The sequence below is a fragment of the Homo sapiens genome, chromosome 9, assembly GCF_000001405.40.
Source record: "Homo sapiens chromosome 9, GRCh38.p14 Primary Assembly".
NCBI lineage: Eukaryota > Metazoa > Chordata > Mammalia > Primates > Hominidae > Homo > Homo sapiens.
Window position 1 is genome coordinate 19,882,470 of NC_000009.12, and position 25,442 is coordinate 19,907,911.

General features: G+C 40.4%; 1 protein-coding gene and 1 pseudogene across 1 annotated transcript in view; both read right to left on the reverse strand.

The window, feature by feature from the left end:
• SLC24A2 (solute carrier family 24 member 2) overlaps positions 1-25,442 on the reverse strand; it is an 800,438-nt gene that overhangs the window by 375,015 nt on the left and 399,981 nt on the right. Inside the window, exon 4 of the mRNA XM_017014592.2 lies at positions 8,662-8,759. The gene's annotated coding sequence lies outside the window, so the exon portion shown is untranslated. The remainder of the gene's footprint in view (positions 1-8,661; positions 8,760-25,442) is intronic.
• Positions 13,093-13,513, reverse strand: CLK3P1 (CDC like kinase 3 pseudogene 1; annotated as a pseudogene).

Sequence of the window (25,442 nt, forward strand, 5' to 3'; positions counted from 1 at the left end):
CTGATAGCTCATAAAACTACTTTTCCCTCCACGCCCCCCACCCACTTTCCTTAGTTCCCTGAAAAGCAGTAGGCACAAGAAATGGCATGGAAATCACAGTCCTGACTTTAGGCAAATGTTCAGCGCTGCCACTGTCAGCTTTAACTTTCTGGGGATTTGGTCCCTCTGCAAAAGCTTCCTGAGGATCTACAGGTTAAAAAAAAAAAAAAAATAGAGAATAGGTTTCCACCACCCAGTCATTTACTGGGCAAACACTTTCTAAAGATATATAAAACTCACCCCACAGGTTAGAGAATTTAGCTCAATGATTCAAATAAAAGCAAGCAGCAAGCAACATTTAAAAATGTCATCTTTTAATATCTCCTAAACTGAGCTGTGCCCTGCTGGGTGAAAAGGCTACTCCACCAAGCAGCCGATGCAGGATTCCTTTTAGAGCTCTCAGTGCCTAGCAATATGCAGGAAGACTGATGAAAATAATTGCACTGTAAGAGAATCTGACTAAACATTTTTTTAGCAGAAATCCCAAATACGGCATAATTTTATGGACGGTAGCCTTCATGCTGTGCGTTAGATCTCTATTTATTACAAATATTTGATTAAACATTTGTGACTTAGAATATCAAATGATTAAAAATTACCTAACACAAGAGTTATAGCAACCAGGATTTTGTCTACTGCCTTAAGAACTGCTAGAACATTAATTAGGAATATCATGTTTGCACCAGGCAAATGTCTCTATTTCTTAGATATTGCGATGTGCCAATCTAAACCATTTTATCTATCCCAATGGTGACTCATTGAAAAGATGATAAACTTCTAGTATCATAATTGTTATGTCTAGACTGAAATTACATACAGGTGCAATAAATGCTTTCCTAAATTGTGTACAAATCAGAGTCTTACAAATTTAATAGAGATAAGAAATTTGTATTGTAAGCAATTAAAATAAAAACCAGACTGTAGCATTTTGTAGGGCAAATAATTATTTCACAAGTAAAGAATCTATACCTAATTTATCTGCAAACCATGTGCACTTGCTCAAGTCATTTACCATTTTGGGGGCTCAGTCTCCTCATCTGTAAAATGATGTTTCTGTACATTGTTTTTTTTTTTTGAGATGGAGTCTTGCTCTGTCGCCCAGGCTGAAGTGCAGTGGTGCTATCTCGGCTCACTGCAAGCTCCGCCTCCTGGGTTCAAGCCATTCTCCTGCCTCGGCCTCCTGAGTAGCTGGGACTACAGGTGCCCGCCACCATGCCTGGCGAATTTTTTGTATTTTTAGTAGAGTCGGGGTTTCACTGTGTTAGCCAGGATGGTCTTGATCTCCTGACCTCGTGATCCGCCCACCTTGGCCTCCCAACTCTACACTGTTTTAGATGTATCTCTAAGGCTCCTCCGACTCTATCACTGTTCTAATATGTACCATATATAGACAGAAATTGGCCTTATTAAAGGTCTACCCTGTAAAAGGTGCTACTTATTCTGGAAAAAGTCATCTCAGGTCTCAGTCTTTGACCCTTATCTCCTGCTAGACTGAAGTGATCTCATCGAGTACAATGGCTTTAAATATCAACTATACTCATGTGATAATAATAGGACGAATGGTTGATATGCCTACTTTTTGTGCCTCATTCTAAATATATGACATACACTAATTATCCCTCACAACAGGGTCAATGCATCCAGTCTAGAAATTCATCTATAATGATCTTTTTACTTAGGATTTTATAACAATGTGTATTAGTTTATAATAGCTAAACCAAAACTATACAATTAATTTTTAAGAAATTCAGTGTTTATGAGCCCTATTCCTAAAGAAGTTTGTTTCCTCCATCACATCCTACAAAATGCCTGCTAATCAATACTGCTGCTTGATGATTACTGGATGACAGCGTCTCATTCTGTGTACACCATCCTGGTTCTATATCTGGGTTTTGTGTTTTCACTCTTCTGAACACTGTTGTATAGTTGAAAAAGGAAACTATGAGCAAGTTCTCCTACTCTACACATTTTTAAATTTGAAAGTTTTTCATTGTGAAATCTGTATTAGCCAGACACTTAGTTGGAAGTGAATAAAGTGCAACTCTTATGCTTATGTATATATGTATATATATTCCTAAAATATATTCTTATATATAAACATATGGTTCCTGGCTTACAATGGTTCTATTTATGATTTTTTCAAATTTATAATGATGCAAAAGTGATATGCATTTAGTAAAAACCATGTTTTGAGTATCTATACAACCATTGTTTTCACTTTCAGTACAGTATTCAATAAATTACATGAGATGTTCAACACTTTAATATAAAATAGGCTTTGTGTTAGATGATTTTGCCCAACAGTAGGCTAATGTAAGTACCCTGAGCATGTTTAAGGTAGGTTAGACTAAGCTATGACGTTCAGTAGGTTAGGGGTATTAAATACATTTTTGACTTAGGATTTTTTCAACTTACGATGGATTTATTGGGATAAAACCACACGGTAAGTTGAGGAGCATCTGTATTCTTACAGAGTGGACAAGGTTGGATGGGACTGGCCATACAGGAGGACTAGAATTTTTTCAGGATGCTGTCTCTCAATTCTCATTCCTTCTGCATGTCAGCTTTATCCTTGTGAGTGTCTCCATATGGCAGTGTATGTGGCCAACAGTGTCGCTGGGGACATATCCTTATAGATCTTGGCAAGAAAAGAAAAAAGTTCCTCAAGAAGAACTCTCACTGGACCCGTTTAACTGTCATGCCCTTCCTGACCCATCACTGTGGCCAGATGCATGCTAACGTGTTTAGGTGGGGAGGCACTTCCATTATAGTAAGGAAGAACAGTTCTTCAAAGGAAGGGGAGCTATGCTATTACTGGAAGAAGGTAGGCAGGGGCCTGAGTAGAGAGAAACACTAGATGTTCACATGGAATCATGGTTGTTTCAGGTGGATGATGATGCTTTAATGTATAGAGAACTTACAACTTATAAAACATGTTCACATACAATGTCTGTTGGTCCTCACAGAAACTCTATGAAAGTTCGTTCTTATCCTCTCCCCATTTTATAGATGAGGAAACAAGCTCAGAGTTGTGCAGCTTGTATGTGGTGTAGTGGTAACTAAGCACTTAATTATGATTGAGGATAATTTTTTAAGACTTCTATTTTAGGTTCAGGGGTACATGTACAGGGTTGGTTATACAGGTAAACTGTGTGTCATGGGGGTTTGGTGTACAGATAATTTCATCACCCAGGTAGCATAGTACCCGATAGGTATTATTTCTGTGCCTCTCCCTCCTCCCACCCTGTACTCTCAATTAGGCCCCAGTATGTATTATTCCCCTGTATCTACCCACGTGTTCTCATTGTTTCGGTTCCATTTATAAGTGAGAACATGTGGTACTTGGTTTTCTGCTCCTGTGTCACTTTGCTAAAGATGATGTCCTGCAGCCCATCCATGTTGCCGTAAAGGACACAATCTCATTCTTTTTTATGACTGCATAGTATTCTATGGTGTATTTGTACCACATTCTCTTCAGCCAGTCTACCATTGATGGGCATTTAGGTTGATTCCATGTCTTTACTATTGTGAATAGTGCTGCGAGGAACATATGTGTGCATGTGTCATTATGGTAAAATGATTTATATTCCTTTTGGTATAGACCTAATAATACGATTGCTGGGTCGAATGGCAATTCTGTTTTAAATTATTTGAGAAGTCGCCACACTGCTTTTCACAATGGCTGAACTAATTTACGCTCCCACCAGCAGTGTATAAGCATTCTCTTTTCTCCACAACCTCTCCAGCATCTATGATTTTTTGACTTTTTAATCATAGCCTTTCTGACTAGTGTGAGATGGTATTTCACTGTAGTTTTGATTTGCATTTCTCTAATGATTGAGCATTTTTTTATAGGCTTATTGGCTGTGGGTATGTCTTCTTTTGAAAAGTGTCTGTTCCACTTCTCAAAAGAAGACATTTATATGGCAAACAAACATATGAAAAAAAGCTCAACACCGCTGATCATTAGAGAAATGCAAATCAAAACCACAACGAGATACCATCTCATGCCAGCTAGAATGGCAATTATTAAAAAGTCAAGAAACAACAGATGCTGGTAAGGTTGTAGAGAAATAGGAACGCTTTTACACCATTGGTGGGAATGTAAATTAGTTCACTGTGGAAGACAGTGTGGTGATTCCTTAAAGATTTAGAACCAGAAATACCATTTGACCCAGCAATCCCATTACTGGGTATATACCCAAAGGAATATAAATCATTCTATTATAAAGATGCATGCACATGTATGTTCATTGCAGCACTATTCACAATAGTAAAGACAGGGAATCAACCAAAATGCCAATCAATGATAGACTAGATGAATAAAATGTGGTACATATACACCATGGAATACTATGCAGCCATAAAAAGGAATGAGACCATGTCCTTTGCAGGGACATGGATAGAGCTGGCAGCCATTATACTCAGCAAACTAACGCAGGAACAGAAAACAAAACACCACATGTTCTCACTTATAAGTGGGAGCTGAACGACGAGAACACATGGACACAGGGAGGAAAACAACACACACTAGGGCCTGTAAGGGGACAGGGGAAGGGAGAGAATCAGGAAAAATAGCTGATGCGTGCTGCGCTTAATACCTAGGTGATGAGTTGATAGGTGCAGCAAATCACTATGGCACACGTTTATCTATATAGCAAACCTGCACATTCTGCACATGTACCCTGGAACTTAAAATTTTTAAAAAGTGTTTGTTCATGTCCTTTCCCCACTTTTTAATGGGGTTGCCTTTTGCTTGTAAATTTGCTTAAGTTCCTTGTAGATTCTGGATATTAGACCTTTGTTGGATGCATAATTTGCAGATATTTTCTCCCATTCTGTAGGTGTTCTGTTCACTCTGTTGATAGTGTCTTTTGCTGTACAGATGAATGGGCAATTCTCAAAAGAAGATATGCAAATGGACAACAAACATATGAAAAAATGCTCAACATCACTAATGATCATGGAAATGCAAATCAAAACAACAATGCAATACCACTTTACTCCTGCAAGAATGGCTGTAATAAAAAAATAAAAAAATAATAGATGTGGGTATGGATGCAGTGAAAAGGGAACACTTCTAACACTGCTGGTGGAATGTAAACTAGTGCAACCACTATGGAAAACAGTGTGGAGATTCCTCAAAGAACTAAAAGTGGAACTACCATGTGAGCCAGCAATCCCATTGCTGGGTATCTACCCAGAGGAAAAGAAGTCATTATACGAAAAATATACTTAAATATGGAACCAGCCCAAATGCCCATCAACAAATGAGTGGATAAAGAAATTACATATATATGATGGGACACCACTCAGCCATAAAAGGGAATGAATTAATGACTTTCACAACAACCTAGATGGAACTGGAGACTATTAAGTGAAGTAACTCAGGAATGGAAAACCAAACATTGCATGTTCTCACTCATAAGTGGGAGCTAAGGTATGAGGATGCAAATGGACTTTGGGGACTCAGGGGAAAGTGGAGTGAGGGACAAAAGCCTACAAATTGGGTTCAGTGTCTACTTCTCGTTGATGGGTACACCAAAATCTCACAAATAACCACTAAAGAACTTATTCACGTAACCAAATAGCACCTGTTCCCCCAAAACCTATGGAAATAATTGGTTTTTAAAAAGTATCCTTTCCAACCTTTTAGTGGGCTGTTCACCTAGTCACCCTGTAAACAAACAACATGCCTCCATTATGTTTTAATTTTTCTGGAAAATGTTTATATAATAGAATGATGTTTCTTTTAAGTCCATTCCTAAGTAGGTGCAAATGACTTGAACGATCTTCTCATAACTTTCCTTTCATTCCATTTTCCAAAATTTGCCCTTATTTCTTCTGCCTTTCTCTAATTTTCTGACCCTTTTGTTCATTGATAAAACCTAAAGTGACTGAAGAGTATGCACCAAGCAACCCATTTTTTTCTCCTCTTTTATTTATAATAAAACCCCCAACCTCATGTGTAATGTGACTTCCCTATTTAGAGTGATTAAATCTTAGTGGCACATTATTATCTGTGGGCTTTTAACTTTTGATTCTGCAGTGTTTCATTAAATATGCCATTTATTTGTAGGCCTAAGAGGGATTCTGGAAGAGTAGAAATGCAAAGGACCTAATTCCGAGAAATTTTGGTACTGATCTTGGTTTTACCGCTTTCTAATGTATGATCCTAGGGGTGTCAGGGAAGCTGAACCACTCTAGGTGATAAAGTACAGAATCTGCTGCCTCGGTGTCTAGTCGTGGCCTGAAGTTGCTATAGATCAACTGAGAAGGCAGTTGGGAAGAAATGCCAAATGCCCTTTCACATGAAGGGTAGAATGGGACAGGAAAACAAGGACAACTGGAACCCATGAGGACAATCTGGAATCCACAAGCACAAATTGGAACCTGGTCTGTTTCTCCCTGAATCTAACCCTGTGACACAGGTATCCTGACAACCTGGTAGCCTTCTCCTGGAGAATCTGGTGGAGCCACACACACCCCTGGCTCACGAGTCAGAGAAGCTAGAGGAGGAGAGCCCTGGCCCCAGACCATCAGTGTGAGCTAGCACAGTAGAGACACTGAATAAGCAGGTGCCTGGCACCGTGCATCAACCTTCAGAGCACCTTGGCTGCTGCTTCTCTTCTACCACCCAATCTCTGCACAAAGTTCTCCTGGGAACATCCCCAACCTGGATTTACACTGGGAAGGATATTCTGGGACTTGTAGCTTCAGCTTAGCTAAACAAACATGGTATAAAGCCAGTACAGTGGGTGTGTCTATAATCCACCTGAACTCCATTTCCTCATCTGTAGTGCAAGTTTATTATAGGGGAAAAAGCATCCTTAGCATTTGGTTGGTGTTCCATAAATTGTAATTATTATTATTATTATTATATAGATGTAGCATACTCAGATTGACTTTCTTGATACTCATCACCTGAAAGGAAATACAAATTTAATCCTTAGTAGTTCCAAAACAGTCCATAGGCCTCCATTCATGCTTAGCAATCACCAAAACTTCCTCCTGAGAACGCTTCTTCCCCTATTGTCTTTTCAGGGGTGAGGGATGGGGTCCCCATTGCTGCTTCCAAACCATTTTTCCTCGTTCCTCCTTCAACCCAGGATTCTTAAATTATGCCATTAACATTTTATCCCTTCTTGTTTCTATCTCTACCAACTTGCCACTCACACTGAATCATGAATTGATGGCCCTGGCATCTGTCTTACTGTCAGTTTTACCATGGTGGCTGTCAAAATCCTGGATGACTTCCACACCTATGCCAATGATTCATTCTACACTTTTAGTTTTTTCTTTTGCTCCACGTGGACCATTTACACTTAGGGTTGTACTGTAGATGTTACTTCATCAATACCGGTTTTGAAATATCTATTTAAAGCATTGTTCTTTCTACCGACTATCTCTTATCTTCCTTTCTCAGTTATTCTGGTATTCCACCAAGCCTCATCAAATTGCATTTCTAATATTTTGATCCATACTTCTCTTTGCACACAGTTCATATCTTCACTTACCTTCTTACTTAGTTTAGAGTTTATGGACCACCAATATAACCTCTCCATTACAAACCCCAGTAAGTTGCACACCCGTCTCTTTCTCTATCATAATCGCCTTAAAAAATCCCAACCCAGTTTAAACCTAAATATCTGTTTACTCAATGCTGGCACCCAAGCCAAATGCTGGAGAAAGAGTCAATAAGAGGGAAGCCACAGTCTTCTCATAACCTAATTTCAGAACTGACATTGTATTGCTTATGCCATATTCTATTAGAAACAAGTCAATAGATGTAGTAAATGATGAAGGGAAGGAAATTGCACAAGGGCATGAATACTAGGAAGGCAGGACCACTGGAGGCTATTTTAGAGGATGCCTACCATATCCAAGTTGCCAGTGATCCAAATCTCACCAATGTCAATGGGCAATTTTCTGCCCTCATCCTGCTTGACTTCTCAATGTCATTTGATACAATTAATTACTTCCTTATTAAAATACAAGGTCTCTGGTTTTGTGTGTCAGCATATTTATTGGTTGGGTTTTTCTCACTGATGACTTCTTCTCCTTTACTGACCTCTAAATATTGAAATGTCTGAAGGCTCTTTCCTTGGTCCTCTTATCTTGATACCTACATTCTTGTGTGATCTCATTCCATCACATAGCTTTTTTAAAAATTAATTTACTGTTTTGATACAGGAGTCTCACTATGTTGCCAGGTTGGTCTTGAATTCCTGGACTCAAGCAATCCTCCCGCCTCAGCCTCCCAAGTAGCTGGGACTACAGGCACGTACCATCCCATAGCTTTTAATAGTATCTGTATTCTGACAAATCTCACATCTGTGGCTCCTCCAGTACCTTTCTCATTAGCTACAGAATCATCCATCCAATTGCTCACTCGACATTTTTTTCCACTTGGATGTCTGATAAGCATCTCAAACTTTGCTTATATGAAAAAAGGATGATTGATTTCTCCCAAGCCTACCTTCTTCTCTGATCATCTCCTACCCTAATATCCCCCACTTGTTAAGTAAAACACCTTTGATTTCTCTTCTTTGCACGTACAATGCATCCAGTCCATCTACAAGTCCATTATTCTCTCCTTCCAAAATATGTGCTGAATCTTACCTGGTTGGCCCATCTCCATTACTGTAGCTGTCACCTGGACTACTAAAGTGGCCTCCTGTCTCTTCTTTTCTTCAGTCTTGTCCTGTTCACACCAGCCTCTGCAGAGGGAGCCACAGAAAATATTTTAGAGCATAGGTCAGAGCATGTCACTGTCCTGGTTAAAACCCTTCAAAGTCTTCCTATTGTAATGAGAATTAAATCTAGAATCTTCCTTCACTCTCTAATATAAAACAGATATATTAGTCTGTTTTGTGTTGCTATACAAGAAACTCTGAGACTGGGTAATTTATAAAGAAAGAGGTTTATGTGGCTCACAGTTCTGCATGGCACCAGCATCTGCTTCTGGTTAGGGCTTTAGGAAGCTTCCACTTGTGGTAGACGGTGAAGGGGGAGAAAGCATGTCACATTGTGAGAGAGGGAGGAAGAGGAGGCAGATATGCAATGCTCTTTTAAATTACCAGCTCTCTGGGCTTGGCATAGTGACTCATGCCTGTAATCCCAGTGACTTGAGAGACTGAGGTGGGAAGATCGCTTGAGACCAAGAGTCCAAGGCTGCAGTGAGCTATGATCACGCCACTGCACTCCATCCTGGGTGACAGAGCGAGATCCTGTCTCTAAAAAAACCAATACAAATTAAAAATAAACAATCAGCTCTTGAGAGAGCTGAACTAAGAGAGCAAGAACTCACTCATTACCTTAGGATGGCACTAAACCATGCATGAGAGATCAGCCCTCAAGACCCAAACACCTCCCATTAGGCCTCACCTCCAATATTGGGGATCAAATTTTAATATGAGATTTGGAGGGACAAACATCCAAACTATATAACCAGATAATAAATAAGCTGCCTTTTTCAAACTCATTTCTACATCTTCAACTCAGCTCACCTCTTCAGATTGAGTTCCCTCCCTTCCCTTTTTCTCTTCGTTTGTCACTCTATGCCAACATGGGCCTTCTTTTTGTCCCTCCCTTATGACTAACTAGTTGTACTTCAGGGTCTTTGCACTTGCTTTTTCTTCCGTTTAGAATGTTTTTCCCTATAATCTTTGAAGAGCTGCCTCTTTCTCATAGTTCACATTCTACTAAACAACCTGCTTTCTCAGTTACCTTCCCTGACCATCCCATGTAAAGTAGTGTCTGTCCCCTGCTCTCATCCCAAGGCAGTTCCTATCACATCCTATTTTGTTATTTTTCTATAATATTTATCACTACACAAAATTACTTTATTTCAGTGTTTTGTGTCTGTTTTATCCCTCTCTCCCACCAGAAAATGAGCTTCTAGAGTTTGGTTCTTTGTCTCTCTTGTTCTTCACAATATTCTTAGTGCCTAGAGCAAAGCCTGATGCCTCACAAGTGCTCTATAAATGTTTGCTGACTGCCTGCCTGATTCAACCAACAAATGTAATTGAATATCCACTGTCCACACATCCTCAAAACAGACCCTTAACTTTTACTGTTAAGAGTGACCTAAGGACTAGAGAAATCCACCTAAGTGATTACCAAGGGGCTAATGTCCAGTTCGTTTCTAATGTTCATTATTATCCACTTAATTCACTGGATCAACTGTTGTTTTTTTTTTCATGCCTAGAAAAATTTTTGGTTTGTTTTTGTATTTACGCATGGAGGAACTGAAGCTTGGCGAGAACAAGAGTGAATTTTGGCCCAAGGTCACACAGATGGTAAGTGGCACATCAGGGGTTAGAACCCAGTCTGGCTGTCAATAAAACTGTACCCACCCAGGTGCTTCTCCAAGGGCTGAAAATCTGCCTCATTTGTCTAACAGGCTGCCCAAGTCCCCTTAGATCATGAGAGGGACAAGTGACCAGGCAAAACAAGGGGGAGGTTTTGTTTCCTCTAGAGGGGAAGAAAACATGTAGCCCCTATCTAGAGAAAAATCCTCTCCATGGTTTCCCCAAACACATTCCACCAAAGAGAACTTCGTCTTTAATAATGTTCCCATTTTGCTCCCATTTTGGTCCAGCATGTAAGAAAGTCTCTATGAATGGTATTTTGAGTGGCGGGCAGAGAAGCAAGTAGGGCAGGGAGTATTATCTTAGGGTAGGATAACTTGAAAGATATGAGATTGCTTTTACTATCATATTAGCTTCCCTGCCCATCATCAGAGTCAATTCTGCTAGCCTTGCTCTCTAGCAAGGAGCCTCTCCATTCCCCATCAATCCATGCATTTCTTTCCCAAGGCTGAACCATATCTGGAAAACAGCCATGTTCCATATAGTTCCTGGGAAGGCTAGGCCTCAACACCACACATCTTGGATCAGATCAGTACCTCCCTATTGGTGCAACTGTTGGGGAATAGGAGTTTTTATTCTATTAAAGTTTTGGAGACACTCATGGAGCAGGAATTTTGAATAGGCAGAAAACATTATTATAATAGTAGCTACTGTTAATACTACTGGATATCTGGCATTATTCCAGGTGAATTAAATGTATTTATTCTTATAATTCAGTCCTTTCAACAATTATAAAAATATATGTTATTGTCCTCATTTTTATATATAGGAGGAAACTGAGTCTCAGAGGGTTTAAGGTTGTATTTGCTGAAGGTCTCATTGTTGGTATTAGTTAGAATTAGCTTTGACTGCAAGTGACAGGAACACAAGATTGGCTAAAACAAAATGTGAGTTGTATTTTCCTCTCTCACGCCACACAGGGTTAGGGTCAGGCTTCCCAATTGTCAAATTGCACCTCATGTTTCTCTGCCATCCGCCACACAGGGGTTCTGTCTGATGGTCCAAGATGGCTGCAGTGGGTCACCACCTACTCTCTAGTAGGAGGAAACAAAGGGAGAAGAGAATTTCCACTTCTCTTAAGGACACTTCTTGGAAGTGACAAACACTACTTCTACTTGCAACCATCGATCCGAGCTATATCTCAAAGACTTGCCCAGCTGCAAGAGAGACTGATAAACATAATCTATTCTGGGTGGCTACGTGTCCAGCTAAATTCAGGATTTATGTTTTTGAGGAAGAAGGGGAAAAGGGATGTTGAAAGACAATTAGCAGTCTGGCACAGAAGGGATGTGGACTCAGGGCTATGTGGTCCAGAGACTAGAACCTTTCCGTCATCTCACACTGCTTCTTGAGCACCTTGGCAGCCAAGGAGAGGAGGCAGAGTGCCAAAGATAGTTTTTCTGTGTGTCCTGAGGTGGCCTGAGGGCCTCTGAAAGTCAGCCTCTGAGACACATGCTATAGGCTGTCTTAGATATTTCCTCGATTTTTTGCTCCCCCAGCATTTTGAATACGTTTATATATTCATCCATATGTTATCATTGTTTATTTTCAGTTTTCCTGAATCAAACATTGGCAAATTGGTAACATTCATTACATGAATGACTGAATTGATGAAACGGCCAATTTTGTTTTTTTTTATCTCTAGCATAATGTCTAGCATTTTACAGGTATTCAACAAATATATGTTTATTGAATGGATGCCTGGAGAGCCAACAACTTTCCTAATTCAATTTTTTTTCTAATTTTGAGTAAGCACAGCCTACTTTCTCAGCATATCCTTTTCTCTTCCAGGATGGGAGAAGAGAGAAAACAGAAAAGACAATAGAAAAAGAAAAAATGGGACAAGGTATATTTATTATACAAGTTCTCTCATCCCTTACTTTCTTCTCTCCATTTATTTTTGATACCACAATCATGAATTTTCCTATCCAAATGGACTTCCATAATACTCTTTGAGGAATGGCCTAAGAATGCTACCTTCAAGCAGCCTGATGACCACCGAACTTAGAAATATTTGGAGAAGTTGCAACAAATTTTATTTTGTCAAAGCTTACATGATTTCTCTTTGTGACATTTTCTTCCCCGACAACCTAAATGAAATTGTATATTTCAAAGCTTTCAAGACAAAATAAAAGTTTGAAAATCCCTTGCAAGTTAGTACTGGTAAATTCATAGTTATTTTAACTCTATAAAGAAGTAAACATCATCACATTCCTCATGAAAAACTCCAGCAAGAGCCACTGGCACGGTTTGAATATAAACAACCAGCACTAAATGACTTCATCAAGCTACAATCCCTGTGCTCAGCGATTTAGAGGAAATCAGCAGCTTAACCAAGGTTTATTTTGTTTTTTTTTTTTTTCTTTTGCTGAGCAATTGGGGGCCAAAAATAAAACACTATTACATCAAACTGCAGACAAATAAAAATCTGAATACATTTGCTGTCTTCTCAGGGCCTTTCTGAACCTAATGCACACCGGAGAGCCCAAAGCTGTCAAGATGTTTCTTGCCATTAGGCACTGGGGGATATTGTCCAATAAGTCCTGCTGGCATTGTCAGTTCTGAGGGTAAAGTAGGGGAAAGTTCAGAAGGATGTAAATATTTTCTAATAGATGAAAGTGATATCTAACACATTCCCCTGCCCTTTTCTTTCTTTCTTTCTTTCTTTTTTTTTTTTTTTTTACAAACAGTAAGAAACACTTTATTATAACTTTACAATATATAAATAGCTTGGGTCAAATCTGTGCTTTCTGGCAGCCGGGCACCAAGTCTGCTCCCCTGCAGGCTCCTGCCTTCCTTCACATTGCACTGTTCATTGGGTGGCTCTAGCCTGGGGCCTGGTGGTCGAGGCTGGAGTCAAGGGGCTGGGCGGCCCAGTCCCACCCTCCATCTCCTCATGCGGTGGCCTGTGCCTGTCATCTGCTTGGGTTGCAGCTGGTGTGGAAGGACCGCTCCTCAGGGGTCAGGCCAGCAAAGAAGGGGTGCAGCAGGGCCTCGGCCAGTGTGATGCGCCGGGCAGGGTCAAATTCTAACATCCTCCTCATCAGGTCAAACAGCTGCACGTGCTCCAGGGAGTCTTGGAGCATGTAACTCTGCTCAGGGACACAAGGTGCCTCAGTGTGACGGCAGGGTCGTGGGAAGCCACAGCAGGTCCCCTTGCCTCTGGGATGCCTTGCTGGACTGGATCGAGGAGGCAGTGATGCCTCCTTGGAGGACTCTACTTCCGCCCTCCTGGACAATGAGCAGCTCCTTTCCTTTCATGCCTGTTTAACGTTTTGCTCGGAAGGCAAGATGAATTATCTGCATTAATTAGCATGTTGAAAAACTTCTGGATTGCCAAGTGTGTTCCTGTGGGTGGTGGGAAACATGTAAATAGGATGTACAGCAATCTGTTGAAAAGAGCCAATGTTTTTTACTTTGTGAGTACATATGAAATGTGAAACAGCTTAGTCAGGTATGTGGCACTGGTCTTTCCAGTTAAACAGATGAACATTTGTCTAACAACACTGGTGTACAGTGCTTGAGCTTTGAAATGCCAATTTGCTCAAGACACTAGGCATTGTTAAAAGAACACTCTTTGGGAGACAAGTTAAATCATTATCATCTCCAGCATACATAACAGTTATTGAACACTAAACTAATTATTTCATTTAATTTTCACAGCAACCCTTGGAGGAAAGTACAACTGGTATCATCACCATCTAACAGATAACAAAAATGGAGCATTGGAGCAGTTAGGTAATTTGGCCCCAAACCACAAAGGTACTACATGGTAGAGTCAGGATTTGAACCAGGTCAGTCTGACTCTCAGAGCCAATATCCTTCACAGCATTATGGTGAAGACTTTGTCCATCTTCTTAACTGGATGGCATTACAGGTGTTACTTAGCTTTGCTGTGCCTCTATTTCTTTGTCTATAAAAGGGGAACAACATTAATTTTATATCATTGATTTGTGAGGATTAAATTATATACTGAATATAAAACATTCAGTAAAATGTCTTGTTATGCATGTCATGTTATGATTATTCTTTTAAAGTGTCTAATTTAAGAGTTGGGAAAAATCTAATTACCATCCACTTTTCTCATTTGGCGAGTAGGAGTTGGACTGAGTAAATGAAATGTATTGCCAACAGAGCTCACATTCATGGACCTACACTGATAGAACTTGGAGGAGTCCACATCAAGCCTTCTTCATAGTAATTGATGAAGAAATTGGGGTCCAAAGAGTCCAGTCGTCATTGGGACTATAGACTGGGAAACTGGGCCTTGGTAGAACTCTTCAAAGTTGCTGATGTGCCTTTCCGTGTGAGTACAATGAACTCTTATCTACCTTTTTGCTTTCATTTTCTTGCTGGAATGTGTCCTTTGTAAACAGTGACCCCATATTGTTATCAGTCAAGTACATGTTAGTTCAACATGTTGTTTTTCATATTTATAAATGTGAAAAATAAAATTTTTATCTTCCCAAAACTTAAAAATTCCTTGCCTATGAAAGTTTACTTTTCTTTTAGACATGTACTAAAAGAAGCACAGCTTACATAGAATCCTTTAAAAGCCAATTTGAGGAAGCAAACCCAGAGCAATCACAATTATAGATGTATATGTCAATATATTTAAATATTATTTAAAACAGTGTATTTTGTAAAGATATGTATTTTTACCTTGAAAGTCCATATAAAACAACAGTTCCAAGTTAGGATGGGCAACAAACATGTGTCCTCATTATATTTGATTTTTTAAAGTTTATTATTAAATAGAAAGGTTCTAATATTCGGGTCTATTATGTTCACAACACTTTAAATCGTTCCCATTTTATCGTCAATAACCCCATGAGGTAGGTATTATGATCCTTATTTTAAAATGAGGTAACTGAAGATGTTTGGTAATTTACTGAACATCCTACAGCTACAAGGGACAAAAGGGCAAAACTGAGACTGAAATCCAAATCTTTACGATACCCAAAGCTCGAGATTTTTCCATTGTTCCAGGCTGCTTTGAACAGAATTACGCACTACAGTTTATTTTTACCACGCGTGTTATTCCCCATCCCACTTTTCCTTTTGCTGATTGTATCAGCCACAGTCCGGTCAGGGAAAGAGAATTACACATCTTGGAAATCATGACTACAGCAGAGGAATTGGATTTTACACAATTGTGGAAGAGTTGAGAAGTAAAGGCCTGGCTGGAGGAGGGAATCAGAGGGTCATAGAATAATCCGTAGCCACTTTCCCTGAAGCACTAGTGCCTGGAGTGAATCAGAGATTGTGAGGGGATCTGAGAAGCCTAGCATGTCTAGCTGCCCCCTGGGATTGCAAAGAAGCAGCTTGTGGAAGGGTCTGTGGATGCTGGCACCTTGTGGAAGCTGCTGCCCCCACAGCTCTGCAGCCAGGTATGTGTATCATGCTTAATAGGACAAAGGCCAAACTCAACCACTGGACAAAGAAGACTCCTCATGATCTCTTTTCTGTTGACTTTGGCTGCTTCATCCCATAACACTACCTTACCACATTTTTCTTCAGCAGTGCAAACTGTACTCATCTTACAGGTTTTGTGTGAGAATCCAATGAGATAAAGAATAGGCCTGGCGCGGTGGCTCACGCCTGTAATTCCAGCACTTTGGGAGGCCAAGGCGGGTGGATCACGAGGTCAGGAGATTGAGACCATCCTGGCTAACATGGAGAAACTCCATCTCTACTAAAAATACAAAAAATTAGCTGGGCGTGGTGGCGGGCACCTGTAGTCCCAGCTACTCGGGAGGCTAAGGCAGGAGAATGGCGTGAACCCAGGAGGTGGAGCTTGCCGTGAGCTGAGATCGTGCCACTGTACTCCAGCCTGGGTGACAGAGCAAGACTCCATCTCAAAAAAAAAAAAAAAAAAAAAAAGAATAGGACAATGTCTAGGACAATGCTGGGCACAAAACAGGTGACCAATTATTACTCAACTTCTAAGTTATAAACAAGAGAATCTACTTCAGCTGGTTGAAGCATATGATAAGTTTATTCCAGGTTATTAGGTGGCTCAGAGGAGGCCAAATCAGCCTGGTGAGCATATGAACAGAAACAATATCCAAACTATACTATGGGTCTGTCCTAGCAGCAAGCCTGCTGCAGCTACCACTAGGCACAGACACCACAACAGGCACCGCTAATGCTGCTCCCTGACTCCAGAGTTGCCACCACTGTCATTCCCAGAAACCAGAGTCCTCTGTATCAGCCTCACATGAAAATAAAGTTCATGCTGTTGTGTTCTCACCCTGCTGTCTTCTAAGTCAAAGTCTCATGGATGTGTCTGACTGGTAAAGCCTAAGTCACACACCTATGCTCTTGCCGCAAGGGAGACTGGGAAAGTAAGAGAGAAAGGGGAAATTGCCCCCTTGGAAACTTGTCAAAGACTGACTCTCTGCAGGCTGCCTTTTAGAAAATGAGCTGCTCCTTTGCAACTGGATGGAAACTGGCTATAGCCCAGGATTAAGGCACTCAATTCTGGCCAACATGAGTCTTGGATCCCAGGAGAAGGGCTGGTACTTCCTGAGTCTTGAATGCAGATTGAGGTGCTGGGGCTCAAGCCAAAGTCTTGCTATGTTATACAACTATAATAGCAAGCCTTGGTCCTCAGCTTCTTCCTTATACCAGGAGAAGGCCAGTTACCCTCACATCATGAAAGCTTGGGGCAGTGATAATAGAGATGTTTATAAGATATAACAATGTCACAAAGAGAGCCAATGTTCTACCATGTAGTATTAGTTCATTCTCATGCTGCTAATAAAGAAATATCCAAGACTTGGTAATTTATAAAGAAAGAGGTTTAATTGACTCACAGTTCAGCATGGCTGGGGAGGCCTTAGGAAACTTACAATCATGGCAGAAGAGAAAGTAAACATGTCCTTCTTCACATGATGGCAGCAAGGAGAATAAGCAAAAGGGGGAAAAGCCCCTTATAAAACCATCAGAATTCACTCATTATCACAGGAAGAGCATTAAAGTAACTGCCCCCATGATTCGATTACCTCCCACCAGGTCACTCCCACAACACATGGGGATTATGGGAACTATTAATCATCTTAATACAATTCAAGATGAGATGTGTGTGGGGACACAGCCAAACCATATCACATGTTATATGACTATTGTACCCTGAACCTTCACTACTTGAGGGGAGGGGCCATTGCTAATCATGTAGTTCATAAAAGTGCCATGGCCCAAGGTTGCAGTCTGTCTCTAGGAGTCTGCTGTCTGGCCCTGTTAAGCCTCTGTGCTCTGCCCTAGAATGCAATGGATTACAGGGCCCTGCACAACTGCTACTGCTTCTATCTTTATGAGCTCTATTTATTTATTCATTTAGCCAGTTCTGATGTGTGTGATAAATGGCATTTTCACTTTTTACCCAAGAACAAGTAACTGGCTTCCACCTTTGGGATGTGAATTTTTCACTGCGGAAAATTACCCAAATATAGGAAAGATAGTAAAAAATACTGGGTTATCACAAAGCCTGACAGATATCTACTACTCCAAATAAATGTTAATTTATAATTAATTTCCCCTCCCTCTTCCCTACTCGCCTATTATTGGTGGACTCCATTATCTTGGGGAGTTGATTTTGGCATCAGGCAGGCCTGAGTCCCAGTTCTTCTTCTACTAAAACCATCAGGCCTTGGGAAATTAACATTATCTCTTATGAGTCTCAGTTGCTCATTTGTGAAATAAGGCATACTAGTAAGACTTATTTTAAAGGATAATTGTTATAATTAAATGAAACAAAGTATGCAAATAACTTACTACTATGTCAAGCACTTAAGAAACACCTAAGAAATGCAAGCAATTCTTACAGGAAGACTTCAAGGAAAGTAGTTCTATCATGATCTTTATTGTTTAGGGCTTGTCTGGTGATAATCTACTCTATTCTCTTACTAACACTTACCCTAAAACCCAGTTCCACTGACAATTTTGGGAAATATGCTCTTCATCAATGGAAGAGTGAGGAGGAGAGAAAGGAATGGAAAAACACATAAGGCTCGTGGAAGTTCATGCCCATATATCACAGGTAGACAACAAACTCAATTTAAATCACAAAAGTGCAAAGCAGCATAGTGCAGAGCAAAAGTTGGCCTTGTGGTCACAATCCAATGCTGAATTTCAGCATTCTTTTTTCCTAGCTGTGGGACCTTGACACTGGCACTTGAGACCCACTAATTTATTCATTTAGCCAGTCGTGCAGGCAACAAACATTATTGATCACCTGTCATGTGCCAGATGTGAACTGGTGTGAATGATACAGAGAATTTTGTAAGGGAGACAGGCATGGTGGCAAATACTCATGATTCACTATGAAAGATGTGATAATAGAGATGTTTACAAGATATAATGATGGCACAAAGGGAGTTTAAGACTTCCTGGGTGTAGGGGAGGACTCAGGGGATGCTGTACACAGTAGGCAGCATTGCAACTGGGTTTCAAATACTGTTAACTAAAAAAATCATGAGATCTATAAATCTGGAGAAGAGACTTTATTTCTTATAAGGGTTACAGCCTGTAAATATGGTTCTCCTGCAGGCTGGGAAGTATAGCCTTTGGCAAAGACCAGAAGACAGATACTTCAAAGGAGGTCAAAGGAGGAGGGGTTGGGGCAGGAGCTTTATGATGAAATGGGTTTGGCTAATTATACATATTCAGCAGGTTACAAGAGGAACTATAAATATTCATGAAAGTGGTCCTAAAGCATGTGTATTCACTACACACACATGTAACATACGACCCATGTTCATTGTGTTGGTGGAGACTTAATATTGTAGTATCTACAATTAGGCCCTAGATGTCAAAGGCTGAAGCTGGGACATGAAGATAATCAAGTGTGCAGACTCTCTAAAACTGGCCAGAACTAGTCTGTGGTTGGTGTTCTTCTTAACAGGAGAAAGCTACTGAGATAAGTCTCTTATCTAGCCAAAGCTGTGGTTATGGCTTGTGGAACAGGCGGGGTGGGAGGGGGGACTGAGGTGGTGTTGGTCAGTTAGTCAGTAGGCAATGGTGGCAGTGAATTGAATGTGACTGAGCTGCAATTGTTTGAACATTGCTTACCTTGAGGCCCCGTGCTTGCTGGGCTGCCACAGAACAAGAAAAACCTTGTAGAAGTTAGAGCATAGTTCATTCTTTAAGGGTAGGGTGCAGGACTTAAGTAACCCTTGCCTGGCACAGCCTTAGGCCCTGTTTATAATTTGGTATTTTATTGTCACAAAGAGTCTGTTCCGGCTACTTTAACATTAATGCTGGTTGGTTGTGTCTAAACTGCAAAAAGGGAAGGGGTATAATGAGACGTGTCTCACCTCCTGTCCTGTCATGGCCAGGAATTCAGTTTTTAAGGCTTCTCTGGGTTCCCTCTGGCCAAGATGGTATGATGGTGTCCATTCAGTCAGTTGGGAGGCTTGGGATTTTATTTTTAGTTTACAAGACTGAGTAAGAATTTTCAAGGCAGGCAAATGGAAAAAGGACATTTTAGACAAGGAGAAAAGCCTTATGCCTACACCTTACAACAGATGAATCCTGCCCTGACAGAAATCAAAGGGCCTAGATAATCAGTAATCAGATATTTTTTTAATGGGTAAAGCTTTTAACAGCAGAAAACTCCTTATCCTCCTCCTCATCATGATCATCATAAACATCAATAACCGAAGCACCAGTAAGCAGTTAAGTTTAGGTCCACAGGATTAGCCCAGGCAGAGTGAGTGTTCTTTGTATTTAATAAAGGCTCATTCTGGAAGAGGATATTGAGTCATTTGCCTAAGTCTCTGGAATTTTCACACTTTTACTACCAGTATCACATATCGATGAATATTATTCTGGAGACCTCCAGAAAGAGCCATATTTTCAGAGTGAGAAGGCAGGAATAAGAGGTAATCACTATATTACAATTACATTAGAAAGGAAGAAATTGGTTACATGAACTAACACTTCTGAGATATAGTGTGAGTATGGTTACAGATATAACATATTTGACATAGTAAACCAATGTAGTTTTATTTCCTCCCTAAATCACGTTCCCTTGCAGTCTTTCAACTTCATGGCTAAGCTGTGAGGCTCATTACTCTAGGCAAAGTGAGGACAGATCCTACCTAGGAAAAAGAGTCACTGAGTATCAAAGTCTATAATAAGTCTTAAAAATCAGGCTTTTTTTTTTTTTAATAAGCAGGTTTTTCAATTTCTTTAACTCCCATTATCAGATCGAGTGCCAGACCTTGTGAGACTCAATTATTCTGAGAGAGCGTCTTGGTTAGCTCGTAACAAAATACCACAGACTGGGTGGTTTTAGCAACAAACATTTATTTCTCCCAGTTGTAAAGGCTGGAAGTCTGAGATCAGGATGCCAGCCTGGTTGGGTTGTTGGTGAAGGCCCTCCTCCTAGTTCACAGACAGCTGCTTTCTCGTTATAACCTCACATGGCAGAGAGAAACAGAGAGAGAGAGAGTGAGTGAGCTCTGGTCCCTTTTCCTCTTCTTATAAGGACACCAATCCCATCATGCGTGCTTCACATTCATCTAGATCTAATTATCTCCCAAAGGCTTACCTCCAAATACCACCACATTGGGGATTAAGGCTTTGGAATATTAATTCTGGGAAAACACAAACATGCAGTCCATAGTAGGGAGGCATAACTCAGGATATGGCAGAAAGGAAACAAAAGCCCATCCCTTCTCACTCAGGTAGGCTGCAGCAAGAAAAGAGACAGAGGTAGAGCTAGCAGGAAGCACTTTATGATCCTCAGTTTTCCCTTCTTAAAGATTCCCTCTGATATGAAATCTCAGAAATATCCACAGAGCCATGAGAAAATGATGGGCATTAGAGATGGATGGAGTAAGCGTTAAGTCTGAAGGAGTCCTACACGAGACCTCTTTAAGATGGTCCAGTATATGGCAAAAAAGCGGTGGAAGGGAGCTTTAGAGGTCAGTATGAGGCTTCACTCTATGCTCCTATGCCTTGCTTAACATTCAGGTAACCCAGGTATTCTCCCATGTCCTTGTGAGTAGGTGCACAGAATGCCAGAACTATATAGAATCAAAAAGCCTCTCATGCACAAAGATTTTGTAACTAAGGGAAGGTGGCTGAGACCATGGATGTTAGCAGTAAGGGCCAGTACATCACCTCAGCAGGTCTAATGGGACAAGTCATACCTCAGTGGTCAGCAGCCTAGAAGCTAAACAGCTCGGACATGTAGCAAAGACCTGCCAGGACCTGTATCCTCACTCCTTGAAGTATGTGCAAGGACCAGCAGCATCAGCATCACTTGATCTTGTTAGATATGAAGAATCTTGGGCACCATCCTGGAACTACTGAATCAGAATCTGCACTCTGACAAGATGAACATTTAATTCATGTCACATTTAAGTTTCAGAAGCAGTGATCTAGAAGAGATTGTATGGATCCAAGGCCTCTGCCTCTCTCCTCTAACCCATCATGAGATTATACACCAAAATCACCCTCTGTAGCCATGTGCTCTCTTAGAGAGAAGCAAAAGACAGGGGAGAAAATGTGAAGACCAAGAATTATACAGAGACTCAGTTTTCTAAAGACATCTGAATTTTTGAATTGGACCAAGTTTACTAGATTGGACAAAAACTGGTCCCTAGAGATTAATCAGAGGTGGAAAGTGAAACTAAATTTTCTTTGCCCATTTGAAAATAGTAGGGTTAGACTATAAGACCTGCCATAAAATGATCGTTGCATTTGGGGGGAAAATAGAGACTACTTTCCTGGTTTTTGATGTTTTCATTACTCATGATTCTTCTCAGTCAGGTAAAAATGAATGCTGCATACATTGTATGGTTTCTCATTTGCTGTTTCATATTCCTCACCTATTTTATAGTCTCTTGGGCATTTACATTTTTTGACTCATTTCTTACTGAATGGATCCACACTTCTTTTTGCACAGTAGGAGATGCAGCTTAAAGCTGAACTTTTTTGCTTTTTTCTGCCCTGGGATTTAGGCAAGTCTGGACATATCTACACAGCTGGTAGAGGAGGCTGGCAGGACTCTATTTACTTAAAGGAATAAAGACCCATTTAGTAAAGAATTAATCTTAGAGGAAGAGAGTGGAGGTAAAGGAAAAAGGAAAAGGATCACTGGGTCTCAAAGTATAATATATAGCAAGTCTTGAAAATTAGATTTTTTGTTGTTGTTGTAAAGGAGTTTCTAAGATTCTTTTACTCTCAATTAATAGATAAAGTACCAGGACTCTTGGGACTTATTGATGCTTAGAGAGGTGTCATTCAGGATCTGACAGGGAGGAAACAAAAAGCCCAGCCCTTCTGGCTCAGTTGGTTCATGGACAATGAAAAAGAGTGGGGTCTCACTCAGACTGTCTCTTACTTCATCAAGGAAATGAGGGCCCATTAGGCATAACCTCCTTCAGCTCCCCGGTATTGTCCCTGTAAATAGCTATATTAATATTCATCCAGAGCAACTTTTCTCTTGTCTCAGAGGATGCAATGTTGCACATTTTGTCAAGTATTTCCCTTAACTCCATCGCTTCCCACCTCTTTTTTTTTTTTTTCTTTTGAGACAGAGTTTTGCTCTTGTTGCCTAGGCTGGAGTGCAATGGTGTGATCTAGGCTCAACACAACCTCTGCTTCCTAGGTTCAAGCAATTCTCCTGCTTCAGCCTCCCGAGTAGCTGGGGTTAGATTACAGGCATGCGCTACCACACCCGGCTAATTTTGTATTTTTAGTAGAGACGGGGTTTCTCCATGTTGGTCAGGCTGCTCACGAACTCCCAACCTCAGCCTCCCAAAGTGCTGGGATTACAGGTGTGAGCAACCGAGCCCAGCCCCCTTCCCACCTCTTTAGGGACCTCCTATTTTCAGAGAGAAAAATCTTTTCCTCTGTCCTCTTAGGTTTAGTTCCTGAGGATCTGCAAATTAAACTAACAAAACACAGATTAACAGGAGGAAAGAACATAATTTGTATTAACACTTATGTGCACAAGAGGTCACAGAAAAGAAGTGAAACTCAAGAGAATTTAACATCCCACTGTCAACATTAGACAGATCAACGAGACAGAAAGTTAACAACGATATCCAGGAATTGAACTCAGCTCTGCACCAAGCAGACCTAATAGACATCTACAGAACTCTCCACCCCAAATCAACAGAATATACATTCTTTTCAGCACCACACCACACCTATTCCAAAACTGACCACATACTTGGAAGTAAAGCACTCCTCAGCAAATGTAAAAGAACTGAAATTATAACAAACTGCCTCTCAGACCACAGTGCAATCAAACTAGAACTCAGGATTAAGAAACTCAGTCAAAAACACTCAACTACATGGAAACTGAACAACCTGCTCCTGAATGACTACTGGGTACATAACGAAATGAAGGCAGAAATAAAGATGTTCTTTGAAACCAACGAGAACAAAGACACAACATACCAGAATCTCTGGGACACATTCAAAGCAGTGTGTAGAGGGAAATTTATAGCACTAAATGCCCACAAGAGAAAGCAGGAAAGATCTAAAATTGACACCCTAACATCACAATTAAAAGAACTAGAGAAGCAAGAGCAAACACATTCAAAAGCTAGCAGAAGGCAAGAAATAACTAAGATCAGAGCAGAACTGAAGGAAATAGAGACACAAAAAACCCTTCAAAAAATCAATGAATCCAGGAGCTGGTTTTTTGAAAAGATCAACAAAATTGACAGACCGCTGGCAACACTAATAAAGAAGAAAAGAGAGAAGAATCAAATAGACGCAATAAAAAATGATAAAGGGGATATCACCACCGATCCCACAGAAATACAAACTACCATCAGAGAATACTATAAACACCTCTATGCAAAAAAACTAGAAAATCTAGAAGAAATGGATAAATCCCTCGACATATACCCTCCCAAGACTAAGCCAGGAAGAAGTTGAATCTCTGAATAGACCAATAACAGGCTCTGAAATTGAGGCAATAATTAATAGCTTACCAACCAAAAAAAGTCCAGGACCAGATGGATTCACAGCCGAATTCTACCAGAGGTACAAGGAGGAGCTGGCACCATTCCTTCTGAAACTATTCCAATCAACAGAAAAAGAGGGAATCCTCCCTAACTCATTTTATGAGGCCAGCATCATCCCGATACCAAAGCCTGGCAGAGACACAACCAAAAAAGAGAATTTTAGACCAATATCCCTGATGAACATCGATGCAAAAATCCTCAATAAAATACTGGCAAACTGAATCCAGCAACACATCAAAAAGCTTATCCATCATGATCAAGTGGGCTTCATCCCTGGGATGCAAGGCTGGTTCAACATACGAAAATCAATAAACGTAATCCAGCATATAAACAGAACCAATGACAAAAACCATATGATTATCTCAATAGATGTAGAAAAGGCCTTTGACAAAATTCAGCAACGCTTCATGCTAAAAACACTCAATAAATTAGGTGTTGATGGGACGTATCTCAAAATAATAAGAGCTATCTATGACAAACCCACAGCCAATGTCATACTGAATGGGCAAAAACTGGAAGCATTCCCTTTGAAAACTGGCACAAGACAGGGATGCCCTCTCTCATCACTCCTATTCAACATAGTGTTGGAAGTTCTAGCCAGGGCAATCAGGCAGGAGAAGGAAATAAAGGTTATTCAAGTAGGAAAAGAGGAAGTCAAATTGTCCCTGTTTGCAGATGACATGATTGTATATCTAGAAAACCCCATCGTCTCAGCCCAAAATCTACTTAAGCTGATAGGCAACTTCAGCAAAGTCTCAGGATACAAAATCAATGTGCAAAAATCAAAAATCACAAGCATTCGTATACACCAATAACAGACAAACAGAGAGCCAAATCATGAGTGAACTCTCATTCACAATTGCTTCAAAGAGAATAAAATACCTAGGAACCCAACTTACAAGGGATTTGAAGGACCTTTTCAAGGAAAACTACAAACCACTGCTCAATGAAATAAAAGAGGTTACAAACAAAGGGAAGAACATTCCATGCTCATGGGTAGGAAGAATCAATATCGTGAAAATGGCCATACTGCCCA